The 24,112-nt window shown below is 38.9% G+C and overlaps 1 protein-coding gene across 14 annotated transcripts in view, besides 5 other annotated features; it reads right to left on the bottom strand.

Annotated features, from left to right (window-relative positions):
• C1GALT1 (core 1 synthase, glycoprotein-N-acetylgalactosamine 3-beta-galactosyltransferase 1) overlaps window positions 1-24,112 on the bottom strand; it is a 91,240-nt gene that overhangs the window by 30,688 nt on the left and 36,440 nt on the right. For 4 of the 14 annotated variants that reach the window (XM_047420620.1, XM_047420617.1, XM_047420618.1 and 1 more), the window contains one exon: window positions 2,690-2,887. The exons of 7 other annotated variants lie outside the window; for them this stretch is intronic. The gene's annotated coding sequence lies outside the window, so the exon portion shown is untranslated. Of the gene's footprint in view, window positions 1-2,506; window positions 2,667-2,689; window positions 7,320-7,354; window positions 7,484-24,112 lie in introns of those variants that run through there. 3 more of the 14 variants (XM_017012442.2, XM_024446838.2, XM_017012448.1) reach the window with 3 other exon arrangements.
• Window positions 6,802-7,373: an enhancer, noted in NCBI's record as "OCT4-NANOG-H3K27ac hESC enhancer chr7:7250187-7250758 (GRCh37/hg19 assembly coordinates)". NCBI's record gives its function as "activates a minimal SCP1, AML or CMV promoter by ChIP-STARR-seq in naive and primed H9 embryonic stem cells {active_cell/tissue: H9 hESC(naive and primed)}" and the evidence as "EXISTENCE:reporter gene assay evidence [ECO:0000049][PMID:30033119]".
• Window positions 7,374-7,944: an enhancer, noted in NCBI's record as "OCT4-NANOG-H3K27ac hESC enhancer chr7:7249616-7250186 (GRCh37/hg19 assembly coordinates)". NCBI's record gives its function as "activates a minimal SCP1, AML or CMV promoter by ChIP-STARR-seq in primed H9 embryonic stem cells {active_cell/tissue: H9 hESC(primed)}" and the evidence as "EXISTENCE:reporter gene assay evidence [ECO:0000049][PMID:30033119]".
• Window positions 7,945-8,516: an enhancer, noted in NCBI's record as "NANOG-H3K27ac hESC enhancer chr7:7249044-7249615 (GRCh37/hg19 assembly coordinates)". NCBI's record gives its function as "activates a minimal SCP1, AML or CMV promoter by ChIP-STARR-seq in primed H9 embryonic stem cells {active_cell/tissue: H9 hESC(primed)}" and the evidence as "EXISTENCE:reporter gene assay evidence [ECO:0000049][PMID:30033119]".
• Window positions 15,787-15,916: an enhancer, noted in NCBI's record as "active region_25638". NCBI's record gives its function as "activates an Ori minimal core promoter by ATAC-STARR-seq in GM12878 lymphoblastoid cells {active_cell/tissue: GM12878}" and the evidence as "EXISTENCE:reporter gene assay evidence [ECO:0000049][PMID:35858748]".
• Window positions 16,067-16,585: an enhancer, noted in NCBI's record as "H3K27ac-H3K4me1 hESC enhancer chr7:7240975-7241493 (GRCh37/hg19 assembly coordinates)". NCBI's record gives its function as "activates a minimal SCP1, AML or CMV promoter by ChIP-STARR-seq in naive H9 embryonic stem cells {active_cell/tissue: H9 hESC(naive)}" and the evidence as "EXISTENCE:reporter gene assay evidence [ECO:0000049][PMID:30033119]".

Below are 24,112 nucleotides of genomic sequence, written 5' to 3'. Positions count from 1 at the left end.
GCTTTTTGCGGCAGGGAGGGGAGAGCTACAATTGAAATGATTTTTCTCAAACGGTATCTATGCTGCCTGATTTACCAAACAAAACTGTTTCTGGGCCAGGCATAGTGGCTCATGCCTGTAATCCCAGAATTTTAGGAGGCCAAGGTGGGAGTATCACGTGAGCTCAGGACAAGGCTGCAATGAACTATGATTGTACCACTGTACTCCAGCCTGGGCAACAGAGTGAGACTTTGCTTCTTTAAGGAAATACATAAAAACAAAAGAACTGCTTCTGTTGTATTTCAAATCATGCCTACACCTCTTAAGTTTTCAATAGTTTTCTCAAAGCTTTTAAAGAAGTTTCTATCTTATTAAACAAAAAGGAATAAAAATGAAATAATCCATCAGCGAATAAAGCATGTGCCCACATAATCATTAAGATTTTAACCACTGCCAGGTGCAGGTGGCATGTGCCTGTAGTCTCAGCTACTTAAGAGGCTGAGGCAGGAGGATCACTTGTGAATGACCACTACACTGCAGCCTGGGTGATGTAGCAAGACCATGTCTCTTAAAAAAAAAAGGTGGGGGCAGGTAGGGGAATTCCCTCTCTCAGCTTTGGAGCCCCCCCACCCCCTCAGCTCCCCGGCTCTGTATGGGGGAGCTTCTTCCTTCTACCTTCTTTCTTCTTTCTGGCCTATTCAACTCTCCGCTCCTTAAAACCCCTCCATGTGTGTCCATGTCGTTTTATCTAAGCCAGCATGAGTACCAAGAACCCTGGTGTTCCTTCACTCATCAGAACCATTATCATTTTGGTGCATTGGCCGGTAAAGGAAGTTCATTCATCAGACTGGTAAGTATGCAGCGGATTTCAACTTTAAATCTGTCCTATAATCTCAATACTCTCTTCCATCTACCCTGTCGCCAAATTTTCTCTTTTTATCCACAATCTCTTACCCTGTGTGTGTGTGTGTCTAATGTGCAGGAATACTTACAGTTTAGGAAAAAGAGGTCTGTTAGAAAAGAAAGAGAATTACAGCAGGCAGTACTCAATAACTCTCTCTCTCTATGGTTTCTCTGGGAAGCACATGGTCATTTCTAAGCCACTTAGCAGAAATCAGGCTCTAGGACTCTTCTGAGAACGGAAGTTTATGCTTTTAAGTTAGCAGTAAAATGTCTTCGGCAGCCAGATTTTAGTCCCGATATTGTCCCATCAGTGGGAAAACGGCCATTCTATTCCTACGTTCTTTTAAGGCATCTATTCTGTCTCCGATTAAGATAGTACTTAATTAGTAAGGGAAGTTTAAGTTCGGAAGTTAACTGGAACTGTTTTCTTTCAAGGGTAAGTGCTTTATAGCATGGGCCGTAATAGCAGGCAATCTATAGCACATTGCCTCCGTTAAAGGAGCCTTGCCCGAAAGGTGACAGCCTCTCCAGATGTTTTTTTTGGCTGGGGGAGGGGGGATCCAGGCAAATCACACTGGTTCTAGGAAGTCAAAGAGAAATCACACAAGGCGGATAAGCTAAGGCTGCTTGGGTAGATGTGGTTAGCCCCATTACTTAGTTCATCCAGATCCACAGCTTGGAGGACCATGCCTACAACCATGGGGGAGCACATTTAAGAAGGTGCCGGAATCCAGAAACTGGGAAGGTAAGACATTCAGAGGATACCCCGTCTTCTCCTCCACTCTGGGTCATACAGAAAGGAAGGAGACTAAGAAAATGCTTTTATTCTCGCTTCTTTTTCTAAATGGGTAATAAATTATCTTCAGCTTGCACCCCTCTGGAGTGCACTCTCAAACACTGGAACTTCCTTAACCTCAGAACTTTAAAGAAAGCAACTCATTTTCTTTTGCAGAAGAGCATGGCATTTCTAATAAACCTCTGCAAGCGTTGTAAGATCAACTCAGATCTTTTAGCACCATATTGGGCAGGCCCAGGGAAAATAGTTCCCCAAAATTAAAAAAAAAAGTAACTTTCAGGGAAATCATCTAGGGGTCCCCCTTATTTGGGGCACCTTCAAGTTCCCTGCTCATTGCAGGACCTTAGGCAAGTAAAAGGAGACTTAGACTGATTTTCTAATGACCCGAAATAGGTATACAGAGACTTTCCAAAATTTAACTCAGGTATTTAACCTCACACGGGAGGATGTTATGTTGCTGCTAACTCAAGCCCTCACTGCAGCTAAAACAGGCAGCTCTGCAAGCAGAAGAGAATTTTGGAGATAAGCAATATGTCTCCTACAGTACGCCAAAAGGGAAAAGAAAAAATAGGGAAGGCAAAGAAATAGAGGAAACACTATTCCCAATAGGAAGAGAGGCAATACTTCTTGAAAACCCTAACTGGAATTCCTTTCTATGGTGTTTTTCCTTCTTTCGCGGTTTAAAATGGCTTCTGTCTCTTTTATAATGTTCTTCCAACCTGAAAAAGGCTAATTTTCCAAACCTTAAAATGCTTGGCTTAAAGTTAAGCTAGGGGGAAAGGGAACCCAGAAGCCTGATATGCTGGCAAAAGTGTAAAAATTTCTTACCAGTCGGGCTTTTGGCTTTTCTCTCCCGGCACAAACTGGCAAAGGGATAATAAGGATCATTGTTTATATTCTCTGTAAATTTATAATTAATGAAGAAGGATTTGTGAGGTTGGTCTTCAGTTATAAACAATCTGGTGTGCTTTGCATGTCTCTTTCTGTATGGTTCTGTCAAAGAAAGGGTACCTTAGGTTAGGATGCAGGCCCAGGACTCCGTAAGCCTGCTGTTCAAGCCAGCCCAGCAAAGCAGTCGGTGGCAAACTTGGCTACAGCCTCCATCTTGTTTCACGTCCTTGGGAACACGATCTGTAACCGCGTGGCAATACTTTGTTTTAGTCTCCACCATTTTACAATGGTGGCTGTCTTCTTGTGCTAAGTCAGTTCCTGGGTGAGGGCCACAAAATCAGATAATCCAGTTAGTCAACCTGGATGGTACCAGCTGATCCATCAGAGGCAGGGTTTACAAAATATCTTAAGCCTGATCTTGAGAGCAGTTTAAGGAGGGTCAAAATCTTGTAGCCTCCAGCTGCATGGCTCCTGGGCCAAGGTTTCTAGTCTTGTAGCTAGCTTCCTGGTCTGGTCCCCAGGCAAGTGGAAAGTATATCATGGGAAGTGGCTATTATCATCTTTGTTTTCGACTGGAGAATGTAAACCCGGCTTCTCCGAAAGTTTGTTCGGCCTACCCCTGGGATGGGCAAGGACAGCTTGGGGGCTGGAAACCAAATGGAGTTGCTTGGGTTGGATCTCTTTCACTGTCTCAGTCTCAATTTTGAAAATACTCTGTACACCCTCAGTTGAGTCATTACCTGATTAAGCCTTGTTGGTTTCACCTGTGAGGTTACTTTCGAAAGTTCGAAAGCCGAAAATCTTAACTGCTTGGCATGGCTAAAGTCAAGTAACAGGGGATTTAAAAGGATTTCCTTAAAGAGTGCTCAGCTTAATTAAAAGTGGATATTCAAGTTATAGGTATACTTAAAAGGCTTTTATGTTTTTCTCTTCTTGGATCTTGTTTTTCTGGAAAAAGGCTCTCCTCAGTCGACTGAATTATTTTTCTCCATTTTTTGTCTTACCACTCTTAATGCATGCATGAGAGGTCCTAAGATAACTTCTGGTAGCATGGAACTCCTTGGGAAAAACAGGAGATGCCACAGACCCTGTTTTGGGAAAAAAACCTTTTTTTCCTCATGAAATCCCAGGAATTAAAAGGAGATGGATCCCTCTCAAAATCAAAGGCTCTATTCTGTTTTGCATTGTGTTATCTACTGTGTTTTAAGTTTGGGGGGTATCAAATTACTTCACATTATGAAAAGCTTTGGTGTGTAATAACTAAGTAGAAAATACACTGTAGGGATGGCTAATAGTAGTTATAAATTAGAAAGCATGCTCTTGGCCACCTGGAAGATAAGGAAACATCCCTACCCCCCACTGGGAGATGAGCCTCCCATCAGGGATGGACTGATTACAAAATAAGCCAATTGGCTTTGGGTTGCCTTGCAATGAAATGCATGGTAGAAGAACTACAGTGTCTTCTCCCATGATATTTATATGTTCTTTTCATAAATTAAGCATTGAAATAAACGCATAGCAAGAGGGTCTTAAGGCACTAATCTGCCCTTTAGTAAAAAGGTTATAAAAGGTTTGTAAAGATTTTTACCTCATGGTCAAAGTGGATAAAATTAGATGAAATAATCCATAAGGTTTCATTTAAACTAATTGGGGTTAACATTAATAAACTAGTGCAAGGGTAAAATTTGGATTTAAACAAAATTTTCATGTCACAGTAAAGGCTAATGAAAGATTTTTGCCTTTTAAGTCACCATTTTGGCAAAATATTTATGCCAATCTGGAAATTGTCCTTCCTGATGCCTGGCTTTCTGGATGGCTCAGAGGGCCCCTGAAACATTCAGAGAAAAGGTAGACGGAATCATCTGACATGTTTAGTCACATAAGATTGCCAAAATGATGTCCAATCTTCTTTAAATTATATTTCGGTAAATAATACTAATATACGTTCCAAAATTGTATGGGATTTCTAAAATTCTAATGCCGAAGTACATGCTGTCAATCACAATTAAGGCTAAAGTTACTGTAAACCATGGAAATAAATTATCAGTCATGTTTTTAACTGTAGCTATCCTGAAAATTTTGTCATTTGCAGACAATTGTTGTCTTGCTTTGTTCCTTCTCAAAAGACGGTTTATAATCAAGCTATATTAAGGACTTTAACTGCAGGTTTTTAATAGCTTTGAAGATTGTAACACTGAAATTGAGAAAGAAGATATGGGACTCCTAAAGAACTGACATGCTCACAAATATCAAGCAAAACAAGAGTTAACTAAGTGGACTGCACTCAAAAAGTTTAAGCAACTTTTTAACTTTTGCTTGGAATATTGTTGATCCTTGTTTGGTTTTTCAGAGTCAAGGAAACTTATTCTAAACTATTTATGACCTTTTAATAATTGAGTAAGGTATACTACTGTAAACAAAATTTGGAGCATGTTTTGTAAGGTCCTCTGAGCTGGCTGCACCATGGTCAAGCCATCGTGACATTCCCCTGCCTTTGTGATAATGTACTTTGTGATATTCCCTGTCCTTGTGAATGTACTTTGTAACATTCCTCCCAGCCCTTGTGACAATACACCCTCCCCTCCCTTGTGAATGTACTCTGAAACATTCCTCCCCGCCCTTGTGAATGTACTTTGCAACATCCATCCCTTACCCACAAAAAATTGCTCCTGACTCCACCACTTATCCCAAACCTTTAAAAACCAATGCTAATCCCACTATCCTTCAATGACTCCTTTCTCTGACTCAGCCCACTTGGACCCAAGTGAATAAACAGCCTTGTTGATCACACTAAGCCTGCTCAGGTGGTCTCTTATACGGACATAAGTAACAATGTTCATTTTTCCCCACCTGGTTCCTCTATAATTTGGAGACTAACTGTAATTACTCTTAACTTATGGCAATATAGTTGTTTGCATTAGTGCAGTAAGAATCCATTTTTCTTTCTCAACAGGACACAATTGGAAAAACTGGTTATTATACCAAGGCTTTGACTGAAAGGGTGTGTTTCCCTTTAAGGAATCAAGCTTGACACGCAGAGCCAATAAAAAGCCCCTGGGAGAACTGGCATCATACCTTGTCTACACAGTCCCCGCACAGGGCTCCTAACCTGTGGTCAGTAAAGAACGTCACTTTCTAACAGGTCTGGAAGCTCCGAGTTTCTTGGGACCTCAAGAAGAGAGGATCACCTAACTCACAGGTATTTGAGGATAGAAACCCATTGCTGGCCTAGGCTTTAAAGGTCTTATCTAAGATTCCTTGTGGAACTGAGTTTTATCAAAGCCATCCAAAAGACCTATGTAGAAATAACCATTCTTGCTAACACTTCATGCAAATAATCAGGCCAAGTATAAGACTAAAGTTCATTCACAATTAGCTTTTACCAAAAATGAGAACTGGAGAGAAAATTTTGCTCCAAAGCTTATCATACATTTGTCATTAAATCCTAGTCTCATTAATTGTTTTTAAGCTTTTTGCCTACATTTTAAATTAACCCTGCTTATTCCTGTGACTCAAGTGGTAATCTTCTGCAGCTTGGAAGAAAGAAAAAGGGATGGGTAATGTAAAAATCTGAATCACTATACTAATTGTGGGAAATTATCCTGCAAATTCTGCCAGGTAATAAAAGTAAGTAGGGTATCCATAACCCGAAGGTTTCTTTGTTTAGGAAAATAAAACCAAAGCTTCATAGACCACCAAAGGGAAATTATCTTGGCAAGTAAAATTTTAGATGGAAATTATCTACTACACCACACTTGTGGGAACTGCTATACTCACTCTACTGTTTGCAATAGGGATACACACGGTAGCACCTTCTAACTGAAATATTGGACAGAGTTTCCATTGCTGTTGTATTTTGCTTAATTATTATCCTTAGAGCAGGAATAATAGTTACTGACAAGGAAGCATGAAAGTTTTACTATCACTGAGTCTGCTAGGACTTTTTTTGGGTTTAGGGGTGATTAACACCTCTAGTAAAGTAGAGAAAAATCTACAGGTACTTAAAGATCAAATCAAAATTATTGACAGGCTCAGGGAAAACGCCAGCTTCAGCCCCGGGTGGCTACAAATTCTTCTTTAATACATTCCAGTCTTCCTTAAGGAATTGGTTAACTCCTTTTTTAAGCCTTCTCTTGTTTATATGTCTTGTATTGATATCTGGGCCCTGTATACTCAATACTGTAACTCTCACCTAGAAGCAATCAATCTCCAAATGGTGCTGCAAACTGATCCACACATGGACATGCCATTCTTCCGAGGATCCTTAGATCAACCCCAGGAGGAGCCCTAGTTGCTGTTCCCCATATGATGCCCCTTTTCAGCAGTAAGTAGCCAGAAGGAGTTGTTGCCCAAAACCCTCTAACAGCAGTTAGTGTGGCATCTCCACAGGCGGGAATGTTGTAGGAGTTATTAAGAAATTATTTTAGGCAGAGAAGAAAAAGGGGTCCTTGGAAAGTTTTCATTTTTTAAAGCATCTCCAGAAAAGTTTCTTGTAAAGCCACGGCTGTTAAAGCCAGGCCAGCAACCTTTCATATGCAAATTTAGGCCATTAGAAACTGGGTCCACCCAAACATGGAGATTCCCACAGCCTTCTTGCCCTTGCCCTACATGTTCCTGGAATCCCGACGAGCGTAGAACATCATGGCGCCATGTATTTGCATATTAAAAGACCAGGGTGGAAGAGCCAGCTTTTTCATGAGCTATGTGAATGATGCGCCTAGTCAACCCAATCCCCGGAGCCCTATGCAAATCGAACACCACCTTCTCCAGCCTCTGCATATATACCTGGCTGGTGTCCACCGCACTTGGGGATCCCTTCTCTTGGCTTTGGAGCCTCCCTCCCTCTGTCTCTGTACGGGGGAGCTTCTTCCTTCTGCCTTCTCCCTTCTGTCTGGCCTATTAAACTCTCCGCTCCTTAAAACCAAAAAAAAAAAAAAAAAAAAAGAATCTGCCCACCATGAAATTATGCATGGTCTCATCATTTGAAGCTTTAAATACATTTCTATAATACAAAGCCATAAACTGGACATACAACATGAGCTATACAGATGCTTCGCAATCAAGTCAAAATCAAGCTCCCCAAGTCTCCAGTTGAAATTATACCCTTTAAAATAGTCCCACAATTCCAGGTTCAGAAAATAAAAAGTCAGAACAACTTTTTGTTACTGTTCCAAGAGTCACAAATATTTTTTGCAACCTCAACAGGTTCTGTCAGGCCTCTGAGCCCAAGCTAAGCCATCATATCCCCTGTGACCTGCACGTATACATCCAGATGGCCTGAAGTAACTGAAAAATCACAAAAGAAGTGAAAATGGCCTGTTCCTCCCTTAACTGATGACATTACCTTGTGAAATTCCTTCCCCTGGCTCATCCTGGCTCAAAAGCTCCCCCACTGAGCACCTTGTGTCCCCCGCCCCTGCCCGCCAGAGAACAACTCCCTTTGACTGTAATTTTCCACTACCTACCCAAATCCTATTTTTATAAATAGGCCGTTTTATAAAACGGCCCCACCCCATCTCCCTTCGCTGACTCTCCTTTCGCACTCAGCCCGCCTGCACCCAGGTGAAATAAAAAGCTTTATTGTTCACACAAAGCCTGTTTGGTGGTCTCTTCACACGGACGTGAGTGAAAGGTTCTACAATACCCAAGGTTGGGAGAAAATTATACTGCTTTATCACACTGAAAACTTTCTAGGAACATCCAATATTCTTTCTCCACGAATGTCCTATCTGCCTGTCCCAGGAGTAGGCTGATCCTTATCCATTACAAGGTTCAGAAGGCTGTAAGACATACCTGGAAGCAGATTATTCTTGAAGAGCTTGTTCTTTCTGCATCATGCTCCTGTTTCTATACTTATATGCACAAAGTATCCATTTAAGACAAGGGTGCAGGTTATCAACACTATTTAATACTGGAAGCACTAGCCAATCCAACTGCACAAGAAGATAAAGGTACAAATATTTCAGAAGAGGTGAGAAAGTCATCATTAACTGCAGATACTATGGCCATCTTCGGAAAAAATACTAAAATGCTGTCCAAAAAAACCAGTAAATTCACTTAAGGCTGCCATTTACAAAGTATGTGAAGTCAATCACTTTTTATATGCAGATAATATGCGACTTATAATGGAAGGTCACGTTTCAATAGCAAACAAAAAAGCTATAAGTAACAAAGAATAACAAAACTATAAATGTATAGGCTCTACATAAAGAAAACTATAATTCCATAAAGGATCTAAAATAAAACGAGTAAATGGAAAGACAAGATGTGTTGTGAGATACGAAGAATCCATGATTAAGTTAGAGGATTCTTGGATGACAGTAGAGTAGAAAGCACCAAGAATGAGTCTGTATACCCAGAGAACACTTACGCTGGTAGAATCTATCTCATACAACTATTATGAAGCTCTCAAAGTATACTGAAAACTTCAAACTTCAAGAAAAAGTCCTGGACAGTAAGGTAAACTGTGGCTGATTTCAGTCAATTTCAGTTATTTGCTCAGCAGCAGCTACCGACCCCACCCCACCCTCACTCCCACAGGCAGGCAACTGTGCACGTGTTTGTGGAGCAGCTTATATGTAGCTGTGGGAGTTAGGGTGGGCAATAAGGACCCCGTCCTCCAAATATCAGGAATGGGTGTTCTGACTGTTGACTGCTACTTCTGATCACGAAGATATAGGTGCAGGGGCTGGCAGCCATTGTGGTTGTACCTCCACCCACTGATGCAAGCCCCTCCCCCTCTAGCTGAGGTAACTGCCAAGGAACTTAAAGGCTGGTGCTCTCCCCAACCCTCTTCATTTTTGTCCTTTTCCTTTTTTTTTAGGAGCCAAACATCAAGGACTGAGGCATTCAAAAGAAACTGCATATACAAGGGAAAATAGAAATTCACTATAGTAGTCCCCCTTTATCCACAGGGAATATGTTCCCAGAACCCCAGTGGATGCCTGAAACCGCAGATAGTACTGAACCTTACACGTACTATGTTTTTTCCTAAATATACACACCTATGAGAAAGTCTAATTTGTAAATTAGGCACAATAAGATATTAAATAATAAAAAAAATCATGACAATATGCCATCATCACTATTCTTGTGCCCTAGGGTCATTACGTAAAATAAAGGTTAACTTTATTGAACCTTTATTTTAACTTTATTGAACCTTAACTTTATTGAACTGAACACAAGCACTGCAATACCACGAGAGTCAACCTAATAATCAAGACAGCTGCTAAGTGACTATCGGGTGAGTAACATATACAACGTGCATATGATGGACAAAGGGATAATTCATGTCCCAAGCAGGTTGAAACAAGATTTCATCATGCTACTCAGAAAGCATGTAATTTAAAACTTATGAACTGTTTATTTCTGAAGTTTTCCATTTAATATTTTTGGACCACTGTTGACCATAACTGAAACTTCAGAAAGTGGAAGCAGGGATAAAGAGGGACTATTGTATTACATATCCAGCTTAAGGCACAGGCACAGAAAAGACCTGAAAATACCTTAATTGTACAAAATCTCAGACTGATCTTTGGCAAAGAGACTGCAACAATTAAAAAAAAAAAACAAAGAAAAAAAGCACACCCTGAGGAAGGGATACTACCTAATTTCCAGAATTACCACATTAAATTAAATTTAAGCATCCAGTTTTCAACAAAAAAGTCACAAGGTATACAAAGAAACAGAAAAATATGGCCCACTAAAAGAAAGAAAATAAACTAACAAATTGTCCCTGAAAAAGACCCGATGGTAGATCTGTTAAACAAAGACTATAAAACAACTTTCTGAAAAATGCTCAAAGAACTAAAGGAAAATGTGGACCAAGTTAAGAAAATGATGTATGAACAAAATGGAAATATGAATAAAGACATGGAAAATCTGAGCCAGGCACAGTGTGCACAACTACAGTCCCAGCTACCCAGGAAGCTGGGATGGGAGGATTGCTTGAGCCCAGGAGTTTGAGTCCAGCCTGAGCAACAGAGTGAGACCTCAAAAAAAAAAAAAAAAAAAAAAAAAAAAAAGCAACAGAGTAAGAGAAACACAGAGAATGAAAACCTAAAAGGATACACACAAAAATTCTGAAGCCGAAAAGTACAATAAATGAAATTAAAAATCCACTAGAGAGACTGAAAGGCAGATCTAGACAGGAAGAAAAAAAGAATCAGTGAACTTGAAGAGAGAACAATTGAAATTATTGAGTCTTAGGAAAACAAAGAAAAACGGCTGAAGAAATGTGAAGGTCCTAAGGGACTTGTGACACCATCAAGTAGGCCTACATAAACACTGTCATAGTCCCAAGTAATGGAGAGAGAAAAAATGTTTGAAGAAACAATGGTTGAAAATCCCAATTTTAATAAAAGGCATGAATATAAACATCTAAGAAGCTGAAAAAGACTCCAAGTAGAATGACTTCAAGGAGACTCACAGCAAAATATATTATAATGAAACCACTAAGAGGCAAAGAGAAAATCCTGAAAGCTGAAAGAAGTAACTAATCACACATAAGCAGTCCTCAATAAAATTATCAGATTTCTCATCAGACACTTTGGAGGACAGAAGGCATAGGCCAATATAATTAAGATAATAAAACAAAAAAAAAAATGCCAACCATGAATCCTACATCCACAAAAACCGTCCTTTAAAACAAAAGCTGAGACATTCTCTTCTTTTTTTTTTTTTTGAGACGGAGTTTTGCTCTTGTTGCCCAGGCTGGAGTGCAATGGCGCGATCGTGGCTAACTGCAACCACCGCCTCCTGGTTTCAAGCGATTCTCCTGCCTCAGCCTCCCGAGTAGCTGGGATTACAGCAGTATGCCACCATACCCAGCTAATTTTTTTGTATTTTTAGCAGAGACAGGGTTTCTCCATGTTGGTCAGGCTGGTCTTGACTCCCGACTTCAGGTGATTCGCCTGCCTCAGCCTCTCAAGACATTCTTAAATAAAACATTCTCAAGTAAAAAGCTGAGAGAGTTTATTACCAAAAGACCTGCTCTGTAGAGCAAAATTCTCCCAGTCGAAACAAAAGAATACTAGATAATAACTTGTAGCTATATGAAAAAATAAAAATTGCAGTGACAGTAAATACATAGGCAATTATAAATTCTAGTATTATTGTAACTTTGGAACTCCACATTTTTTTACATAACTTGAGACTAACACATTAAAAAATTAGTTTATATTTTTTGACACACAATGTATAAAGATATAATTCTGCAACATCAATAAGTGGTGGGGATGGAATTGTAAAGAAGCATAATTTTTTTATGTTACTGAAATTAAGCTGGTATAAATATTGTAATTTTTAAATATTAAGTGTAATCATCACAGTAACCAAAGAAAATAGCTTATAGAATACACACAAAAAGAAATGAGACAGTAATGCAGGAAATAAGGACAAAATAGCTACAAAGCACATAGAAAAAAATGGCAAAATGACAGAAGTTCCTCCTTATGATTTTAAATGTAAATGGTTAAACTCTAATCAAAAGGCAGAGATTTGCAGAATTGATAAACATCATCCAACTACATGCTGTCTACTAAAGACTCACTTTAGGCCCAAAGACACAAACAGGGTGAAAGTGAAGGCATGAAAAAAAGATATTCCATTCATACAAGAACAAAGAGAACAGAAGTGCCATACTAATATCAGACAAAATTGACTTTAAATCAAAAAAGGTTACAAAAGACAAGAAGGACATTATATATTAATAAAAGATTCAATACAGCAAAAGATATAACAATTATAGTTGACCCTTGAACAACATGGGTCTGAACAGTATAGGTCCATCTATATGTGCATCTTCTTCTACCTCTGCCACCCAGAAGACATCAAGACCAATCCTTCCTTTTCCTCAACCCAATGTGAAGACGACAAGAATGAAGGCATTCATGATTATCTACTTCCACTTAATGAACTGTAAATAAATTCTCTCCTTTATAATTTTCTTAATACATTATTTTCTGTAGTTTATCATAAGAACACAGTAAATAATACATATATAAAATGTGTTAATCAACTGCTTACATTATCAGTAAGACTTCCAGCGGCAGTCTATTAGTAAACTTTAGAAAAGTCAAAAGTTACATGCAGATTTCCGTGGGGGGGATAGCATCCCTAACCTCTGTGTTGTTCAGGGGTCAGCTATATAAACACTTACATACCTAATAACAGACCACTGAGATGAACGAACCAAAGGTGAAAAAAATGAAAGGAGAAATAGTTCTATGATAACAGTTGGGAGACTTCAGTACCCCACTCTCAATAATTAACAGAACCACACAGAATGGAGAACTTGAACAACACAATAAACCAACTTGGTCTAACAGACATAGACTGAACATTCTGCCTAACAATAACCAAATACATATTGTTCTCAAGTACACAGGGGATATTTCCCAGGATACACCATGTTAGGCCACAAATAAAGTGTTAATAGATTTTAAAAGACAGATAGCATACAAAGTATCTTCTCTGAGCACAATACAATGAAGTTAGAAATCAATAAAAGAAGGAAAATGGAAAATTCACAAATGCGTGGAAATCAAACAACCAATGGGGCGAAGAATCAATCACAAGAGTAATTAGAAAATACTTAGAGACAAACGAAAAACACAACATAAGAAAATTTATGGGACACAGATAAAGCAGTGCTAAGGAAGACATTTATAGTTATTAACACACGAAACAAAAAGAAAGTTCTCAATTCAAGAACCTATTTTTACAACTTTAAAAACCAGAAAAAGAACAAACTAAACCCAAAGCTAGCAGAAGAAATAAAACAATAAAGAACAGAGATAAACAAAATGGGAAACAGGAAAGCAACATGGAAAAATCAATGAAACTAAAAGTTGGTTCTTCAAAAAGGAACAAAACTGATAAATCTCTAGCTAGACTAAGAAAAAAAGAAAAGACTCAAATTACTGAAATCAGAAATGAAAGTAGGGCATTGCTAATAGTTTCACAGAAATACAAAGGATGATAAGAGGATACTATAAACAACCGAATGTCAACAACTGCATAACCTAGATGAGGAAAAACTGTGAGAAACACAAAACTTACTGAAACAGAATAACAAACAGAAAATCTGAAAATCCTATATCAGTATGGAGATTGAATGAGTAATCAAAAACCTCCCAACAAAGAAAAGCCCTGGACATGATGGCTTCACTGGTGAATTCTGCTCAACATGTGAAAAAGAACTAAAACCAAGCCTTCTCAAACTTTTCCAAAAAAAAAAACAAAAAAACAAAAAAAAAAAAACAGAAGAGGAGGGAACACTTCCTGACTTATTCTGTGAGGCCAGCATTACCCTGATACCAAAGCCAGACAAAGACACACAAGAAAACCACAAACCAACAAAGGATAGTAGAAACCAAGAAGGGGAAGGGAGGCATAGGGAGAGATGTGTTAAAGGATGCAAAATTACAGCTAATGATAATAGTTGGAGAAATAAGTTATTGTATTCTATAGTACTGTAGGATGACTATAATTAACAATAATAATATAGTTTCAAACAGCTAGGAGGAGGATACTGAATGTTCCCAACACAAAGAAGTGTTTGAGATCATGGATATGCTAATTACCCTGATACATTATATGTACTGTAACATCACTATGTACTCCATAAATATGTACAATGACTGTGTCAATTAAAATTATTTTTAGAAATAGAAATGAGAGCAACCTAAAAAGAGAAAAAAAAAACTACAAACCAATATCCATTATTAACAGTGATGTAAAAATTCTCAACAAAATACTAGCAAACTGAATTCAGCAGCATATTAAAAGATTATATACATCATGACCAAGTGGGATTTATCCTGGAATGCAAGGATAGTTGTACATATGGAAATCAATCAAGGCAATACACCTCATTAACAGAATTAAGGAGGAAAAAAAAACCCTACATGGTCCTCTCAATTGATGCAGAAAAAGTATCTGACAAAATTCAATATGCTTTCATGATATAAACACTCACGAGAAACCCACAGTGAACATCAGACACATGGTAAAGGACTAAAAGCTTTTCCTTTAAGATCAAATGGTAAAGGACTCAAAGCTTTTCCTCTAAGATCTACAACAAGGCAAGAATTCCTGATTTCATCACTTCTATTCAACATAGTACTGGAAGTTCTACCCAGAGCAATTAGGAAAGAAAAAGAAACAAAAGACAACCAAACTGGAAAGAAAAAGTAAAATTATCTTCTTACAAATGATATGATCTTATATGCAGGGAACCCTAAAGATTCCAAAAAAAAAAAAAAACCTGTTAGAACTAATAAATTAATTTAGCAAAGAAGCAAATACAAAGTCAACACAAAAATGAGTTACATTTTTACGCACTAACTAGAACACTTCTTGAAGTAATAATTCCATTTACAACAGCAAAAAAAAGAAACCTTAGGAATTAACCAAGACAGTGAAAGATCTGTACGACAAAAACTACAAAACACTGCTTTAAGAAATTAAAGAATACATAAATAATTAGAAAGACATTACATGTTCATCAATTAGAAAACTTAATATTGTTAAGATGTCAATACTATCCAAAGTGACCTACAGATTCAATGCAGTTCCTACTGAAATCCCAACAATGCTTTCTGCAGAAAGAGAAAAATCCATTCTAAAATTCATATGGAATATTAAGGGACCCTGAATAGCCAAAACAGTTTTGAAAAAGAGGTACAAAGCTAGAAAACTCATACTTACTGATTTCAAGACTTACTACAAAGCTACGTTAATAAAAATAGTGCAGTACTGGCATGAAAACAGACATACAGAACAATGAAATAAAGAATTCAGAGGAAAAAAAGCATCTCACTTTATGGTCAAAGGATTTTTGGGAAGGGAGCCAAGACCATTCAATGGGAAAAGGACAGGTTTTTAACAAATGTTGCTGGGAAAACTGGATATCCACATGCAAAAGAATGAAGTTGGACTTTTACATAACACAATATATGAAAACTAACTCAAAATGGGAAAATAATGGCAGACAGGGCGCATAACTAACTTGGAGCTCCCACTCAGACACACCGAGTAGTGTGTGGAGACTCACACCGTGAACTTTTACTCGAAGAACTACTACCACGGGAACGTACCAGGAAAGCCGAGAGAATCCATAGACCTTTCAAAGGAAGCAGTTTACAGCTGCTGGTCCCCTGAGACAGCCAAAAAACTCTGAGTGCCCAATGTGTGAAAGGGAATGTCTGCCTCTGAACACACATCCTCACTGGGGATCCCAAAGGGCCAATTCACGAGAGAAGGATGTGACCTCACCTGGAGCTGAGATTAATTTAGAGAGCTGTGAGAAATATAGGGATAAAGGAAGAAGCAGAAGAGCCCTGTGGGCACTCTCTGTCACCAGGGAAGCCATTCCTGACTTTGTCTCACAGAGGCCCTTGGGGAGAGCTGCCAGTGGAATTGGGGAAAGACCCCAAGGAGAAGGAAACTTCCAGCTGAACTGTGTAACAGTTTCAAACAAACATGAAGTTTCCTGGACAGAATCGGGGGAGGAGGCAAACAGGCAGTGCAGAAAGCAGCAAAGAAACCACGGCAGGTAGGGAAGCGTGAAACCTGAAAGCCCTGCTTACTTCCTCGGGGGAGGGGGAGGGCATATAGCCTGGGGCAGCTTCTCAATACTGCTCAGCAGCTGCCTGGAAATTAACTCAGTGCTGCTGGAAGAGGCACCTTGGGAGTGGCACTGGCCTTTCGGGCTTTGTGGGAGCTGGGTGAGGCCTGTTACTGCCGGCTTTCCCCCGCTTCCCTGGTCACCAGTATGATCAAAAGGCAGCAGTAACTTCTGCAGACTTAAACATCCAGGTCTGACAGCTTTCATGAGAGCAGTGGTTTTCCCAGCACAGAGTTTGAGATCTGAGAACAGACAGACTGCCTCCTCAAGTGGGGCCCTGACCTCCCAGTAGCCTAACTGGGAGACACCTCCCAGTAGGGGCCGACTGGCACCTCATACAGCTGGGTGCCCCTCTGAGACGAAGCTTCCAGAGGAAAGATCGGGTAGCAACATCTCTGTTCTGCAACATTCGCTGTTCTGCAGCCTCCGCTGGTGATAACCAGGCTAACACGGTCTGGAGTGGACCTCCAGCAAACTCCAACAGACCTGCGGCTGAGGGTCCTGACTGTTAGAAGGAAAACCAACAAACAGAAAGGACATCCACACCAAAATCCCATTTTGTACGTCACCATCATCAAAGACCAAAGGTAGATAAAACCACAAAGATGGGGAGAAACCAGAGCAGAAAAGCTGAAAAATCTAAAAATCAGAGCGCCTCTTCTCCTCCAAAGGAACGCAGCTCCTCGCCAGCAACAGAACAAAGCTGGACGGAGAATGACTTTGACGAGTTGAGAGAAGAAGGCTTCAGACAATCGGTAATAACAAATTCTCCGAGCTAAAGGAGGATGCTCGAACCCATCGCAAAGAAGCTAAAAACCTTGAAAAAAGATTAGATGAATGGCTGCCTAGAATAAACAGCGTAGGGAAGTCCTTAAATGACTTGATGGAGCTGAAAACCATGGCACAAGAACTACGTGATGCATGCACAAGCTTCAGTAGCCGAATTGATCAGGTGGAAGAAAGAGTATCAGTGATTGAAGATCAAATGAATGAAATGAAGAGAGAAGAGAAGTTTAGAGAAAGAAGAGTAAAAAGAAACGAACAAAGCCTCCAAGAAATATGGGACCATGTGAAAAGACCAAATCTACGTCTTATTGGTGTACCTGAAAGTGACAGGGAGAATGGAACCAAGCTGGAAAACACTCTTCAGGATATAATCCAGGAGAACCCCCCCAATCTAGCGAGGCAGGCCAACATTCAAATTCTGGTAATACAGAGAATGCCACAAAGATACTCTTCGAGAAGAGCAACCCCAAGACACATAATTGTCAGACTGAAAGGTCAGGTTACTCACAAAGGGAAGCCAATCAGACTAACAGCAGATCTCTCTGCAGAAACTCTACAAGCCAGAAGAGAGTGAAAGCCAATATACAACATTCTTAAAGAAAAGAATTTCTAACCCAGAATTTCATATCCAGCCAAACTAAGCTTCATAAGTGAAGGAGAAATAAAATCCTTTACACACAAGCAAATGCTGAGAGATTTTGTCACCACCAGGCCTGCCTTACAAGAGCTCCTGAAGGCAGCACTAAACATGGAAAGGAACAACCCGTACCAGCCACTGCAAAAACATGACAAATTGTAAAGACCATCGCTGCTAGGAAGAAACTGCATCAACTAACGAGCAAAATAACCAGCTAACATCATAATGACAGGATCAAATACACACCTAACAGTATTAACTTTAAATGTAAATGGGCTAAATGCTCCAATTAAAAGACACAAACTGGCAAACTGGATAAAGAGTCAAGACCCATCAGTGTGCTGTATTCAGGAGACCCATCTCACGTGCAGAGACACACATAGGCTCAAAATAAAGGGATGGAGGAAGATCTAACAAGCAAATGGAAAACAAAAAAAAGCAAGGGCTGCAATCCTAGTCTCTGATAAAACAGACTTTAAACCAACAAAGATCAAAAGAGACAAAGAAGGCCATTACATAATGGTACAGGGATCAATTCAACAAAAAGAGCTAACTATTCTAAATATATATGCATCCAATACAAGAGCACCCAGATTCACAAAGCAAGTCCTTAGAGACCAACAAAGAGACTTCGACTCCCACACAATAATAATGGGAGACTTTAACACTCCACTGTCAACATTAGACAGATCAACGAGACAGAAAGTTGTAACAAGGATATCCAGGAATTGAACTCAGCTCTGCACCAAGCAGACCTAATAGACATCTACAGAACTCTCCATCCCAAATCAACAGAATATACATTCTTCTCAGCACCACATCACACTTATTCCAAAACTTACCACATAGTTGGAAGTAAAGCACTCCTCAGCAAATGTAAAAGAACAGAAATTATAACAAACTGTCTCTCAGACCACAGTGCGATCAAACTAGAACTCAGGATTAAGAAACTCACTCAAAACCGCTCACCTACATGGAAACTGAACAACCTGCCCCTGAATGACTATCAGGTACATAACAAAATGAAGGCAGAAATAAAAGATGTTCTTTGAAACCAATGAGAACAAAGACACAACATACCAGAATCTCTGGGACACATTTAAAGCAGTGTGTAGAGGGAAATTTATAGCACTAAATGACCACAAGAGAAAGCAGGAAAGATCTAAAATTGACACCCTGACATCACAATTAAAAGATCCAGAGAAGCAAGAGCAAACACATTCAGAAGCTAGCAGAAGGCAAGAAGTAACTAAGGTCAGAGCAGAACTGAAGGAGATAGAGACACAAAAAACCCTTCAAAAAAAATCAGTGAATCCAGGAGCTGGTTTTTTGAAAAGATCAACAAAATGGATAGACCGCTAGCAAGACTAATAGAGAAGAAAAGAGAGAAGAATCAAATAGATGCAATAAAAAATGATAAAGGGCATATCACCACCGATCCCACAGAAATACAAACTACCATCAGAGAATACTATAAACACCTTGATGCAAATAAACTAGAAAATCTAGAAGAAATGGATAAATTCCTGGACACATACACCCTCCCAAGACTAAAGCAGGAAGAAGGTGGATCCCTGAACAGACCAATAACAGGTTCTGAAATTGAGGCAATAATTAATAGCCTATGAACCAAAAAAAGTCCAGGACCAGATGGATTCACAGCCGAATTCTACCAGAGGTACAAAGAGGAGCTGGTACCATTCCTTCTGAAACTATCCCAATCAACAGAAAAAGAGGGAATCCTCCCTAACTCATTTTATGAGGCCAGCATCATCCTGATACCAAAGCCTAGCAGAGACACAATAAAAAAAAGAGAATTTTAGACCAATATCCCTGATGAATATGGATGTGAAAATCCTCAATAAAATACTGCCAAACTGAATCCAGCAGCACATCAAAAAGCTTATCCACCACAATCAAGTTGGCTTCATCCCTGGGATGCAAGGCTGGTTCAACATACGCAAATCAATAAACGTAATCCATCATATAAACAGAACCAAAGACAAAAACCACATGATTATCTCAATAGATGCAGAAAAGGCCTTCGACAAAATTCAACAGCCCTTCATGCTAAAAACTCTCAATAAATTAGGTATTGATGGGACATATCTTAAAATAATAAGCTATTTATGACAAACCCACAGCCAATATCATACTCAATGGGCAAAAACTGGAAGCATTCCCTTTGAAAACTGGCACAAGACAGGGATGCCCTCCCTCACCCTCCTATTCAACATAGTGTTGGAAGTTCTGGCCAGGGCAATCAGGCAAGAGAAAGAAACAAAGAGTATTCAATTAGGAAAAGAGGAAGTCAAATTGTCCCTGTTTGCAAATGACATGATTGTGTATTTAGAAAACCCCATCGTCTCAGCCCAATATCTCAAGCTGATAAGCAACTTCAGCAAAGTCTCAGGATACAAAATCAATGTGCAAAAATCACAAGCATTCCTATACACCAATAACAGACAGAGAGCCAAATCATGAGTGAACTCCCATTCACGACTGCTTCAAAGAGAATAAAATACATAGGAATCCAACTTACAAGGGATGTGAAGGACCTCTTCAAGGAGAACTACAAACCACTGCTCAACAAAATAAAAGAGGACACAAACAAATGGAAGAACATTCCATGCTCATGGATAGGAAGAATCAATATCATGAAAATGGCCATACTGCCCAAGGTAATTTATAGATTCAATGCCATCCCCATCAAGCTACCAATGACTTTCTTCACAGAATTGGAAAAAGCTACTTTAAAGTTCATATGGAACCAAAAAAGAGCCCGCATTGCCAAGACAATCCTAAGCCAAAAAAACAAAGCTGGAGGCATCATGCTACCTGACTTCAAACTATACTACAAGGCTACAGTAACCAAAACAGCATGGTACTGGTACAAAAACAGAGATACAGACCAATGGAACAGAATATAGCCCTCGGTAATAAAACCACACATGTACAACCTTCTGATCTTTGACAAACCCGACAAAAACAAGCAATGGGGAAAGGATTCCCTATTTAATAAATGGTGCTGGGAAAACTGGCTAGCCATATGTAGAAAGCTGAAACTGGATCCCTTCCTTATAGCTGATACAAAAATTAATTCAAGATGCATTAAAGACTTAAATGTTAGACCTAAAACCAGAAAAACCCTGTAAGAAAACCTAGGCAATACCATTCAGGCCATAGGCATGGGCAAGGACTTCATGACTAAAACACCAAAAGCAATGGCACAGAAGCCAAAATAGACAAATGGGATCTAATTAAACTAAAAAGCTTCTGCACAGCAAAAGAAACTACCATCAGAGTGAACGGGCAACCTACACAATGGGAGAAAATTTTTACAATCTACCCATCTGATAAAGGGCTAATATCCAAATATACAAGAAAAAATCAAACAACCCCATCAAAAAGTGGGAAAAGGATATGAACAGGTACTTCTCAAAAGAAGACATTTATGCAGCCAAAAAACACATGAAAAAATGCTCATCATCACTGGCCATCAGAGAAATGCAAATCAAAACCACAATAAGATACCATTTCACACCAGTTAGAATGGCGATCATTAAAAAGTCAAGAAACAACAGGTGCTGGAGAGGATGTGGAGAAACAGGAACGCTTTTACACTGTTGGTGGGATTGTAAACTAGTTCAACCATTGTGGAAGACAGTGTGGCAATTCCTCAAGGATCTAGAACTAGAAATACCATTTGTCCCAGCCATCCCATTACTGGGCATATACCCAAAGGATTACAAATCATGCTGCTATAAAGACACATGCACATGTATGTTTACTGTGGCACTATTCACTATAGCAAAGACTTGGAACCAACCCAAATGTCCATCAATGATAGACTGGAGTAAGAAAATGTGGTACATACACACCATGGAATACTATATAGCCATAAAACAGGATGAGTTCATGTCCTCTGTAGGGACATGGAAGAAGCTGGAAACCATCATTCTGAGCAAACCATCGCAAGGACAGAAAACCAAACACCGTATGTTCTCACTCATAGGTGGGAATTAAACAATGAGAACACGTGGACACAGGGTGGGGAACATCACACACTGGGGCCTGTCATGGGGTTGGGGGAGGGGGGAGGGATAGCATTAGGAGATATACCTAATGTAAATGATGAGTTAACAGGTGCAGCACACCAACATGACACATGTATACATATGTAACAAACGTGCACGTTGTGCACATGTACCCTAGAACTTTGAAGTATAATAAAAAATAAAATTAAATTACAAAAACAACAACAACAACAACAACAACAAAAGATATTCCAAGCCAGTGGACACAGAAAGCTAGCAGAAGTAGCTATTTTTGTTTCAGACGAAACAGACTTGAAAGCAACAAGTTAAAAAAGACAAAGAGAGACATTATATCATGACAAAAGGCCTTGTCCAACAGGAAAATATCACAATCCTAAATATATATGCACCTAACATTGGAGTTCCCTAATTTATAAAACAATTACTGCTAGACTTTAGAAATAAGATAAACAGCAACACAGTAATAGTGGGGGACTTTAATACTCCACTGACGGCACTAGACAAGTCATCAGGACAGAAAATCAATAGAGATACAATGCACTTAAACTATACCCCAGAACAAATTGACTTAACAGACATTTACAGAACATTTACCAACAACTACAGAATATACATTCTATTCATCAGCACATGGATCCTTCTCCAAAACAGACCACGACAGGACACAAAACAAGTCTCAACAAATTTAAGAAAATCAAAATTATAGCAAGTACTCTCTCACACTATAGTGGAATAAAATTGGAAATCAACTCCAAAAGGAACCCTCAAAACCATGTAAATACATGGAAATTAAATAACCTACTCCTGAATGATCATTCAGTCAACAATGAAATCAAGGTGGAAATTTAAAAATCCTTTGAACTGAATGATAAAAGTGACACAACCTATCAAAACCTCTGGGATAAAGCAAAAGTGGTGCTAAACGCAAAGTTCACAGCAATGAATGCCTACATCAAAAAGTCTGAAAGAGCATAAACAGACAATCTAAGGTTACACCTTAAGGAACCAGAGAAACAAGAACAAACCAAACCCAAATCCAGAAGAAGAAACAACAAAGATCAGAACAGAACTAAATGAAATTGAGACAAAGAAAGAAACAAACAAAAAACACAAAAGATAAATGAAACAGAAAGCTGGTTCTTTGAAAAGATAAACAAAATTGACAGATCATTAGTTAGATTAACCAAGCAAAGAAGATCCAAATAAGCTCAATTAGAAATGAAATGGAGATATTAGATTGATACCACAGAAATACAAAAGATCATTCAAGGCTACTATGAACCCCTTTATGCTCACAAACTAGAAAATCGAGAGGAGATGGGTGAATTCCTGAAAACATACAACCCTCCTAGATTAAACCAGGAAGAAATAGAAACTCTGAACAGACCAACAGCAAGCAGCAAGACTGAAATGGTAATTAAAACTGCCAACAAACAAAAAGTCCAGAATCAGATGGATTCACAGCTAAATTCTATCCAATATTCAAAGAAGAACTGATACCAATCCTATTGACACTATCCCACAATACAGAGAAAGAGGAAACCCTCCCTAATTCATTCTATGAAGCCAGTATCACCCTAATACTAAAACCAGTAAATAATATAACAAAAAAAAAGAAAACTACAGGCCAATATCCCTGATGAACATAGATGCAAAAATCCTCAACAAAATACTAGCTAGCCGAATCCAACAGCATATCAGAAAGATAACACACCATTATCAAGTGGGTTTCATGCCAGGCGTGCAGGGATGGTTTAACATACCCAAGTCAATAATTGTGATGTACCACATAAACAATTAAAAACAAAAATCACATAATCATCTCAATAGACACAGAAAAGGCATTTGGCAAAATCCAGTGTCCCTTTATAATTAAAACACTCAGCAAAATTGGCATAGAAAGGAGATGCCTTAAGGTAATAAAAGCCATCTATGACAAACCTACAGCTAACATTATACTGAATGGAGAAAGGTTGAAAGCATTTCCCCTGAGATCTGGAACAAGACAGGGATGCCCAGTCTCACTACTTCTATTCAACATAGTACTGGAAGTCCTAGCCAGAGGGATCAGACAAGACAAGGAAATAAAGGGCATCAAATCAGTAAAGAGGAAGTCGAACTGTTGCTGTTTGCTGATGATATGATCATACACCAAGAAAACCCTAAAGATTCATCCAAAAAGCTCCTAGAACTGGCAAATGAATTCAGTAAAGTTTCAGGACACAAAATTAATGTACACAAATCGGTGGCATTGCTATACACTAACAGCAACCAAGCTGCAAATCAAATCAAGAACTCAAACTCTTTTACTATGTCTGCAAAAAAAAAATAAAATACTTAGGAATATACCTAAGGAAGTGAAAGACATCTACAAGAAAAACTACAAAACACTGCTGAAAGAAATTGAAAATGACACAAACAAATGGAAACAC

Source organism: Homo sapiens, chromosome 7 (genome assembly GCF_000001405.40).
Source record: "Homo sapiens chromosome 7, GRCh38.p14 Primary Assembly".
NCBI lineage: Eukaryota > Metazoa > Chordata > Mammalia > Primates > Hominidae > Homo > Homo sapiens.
This window is presented reverse-complemented; position numbering and strand designations above follow the sequence as displayed.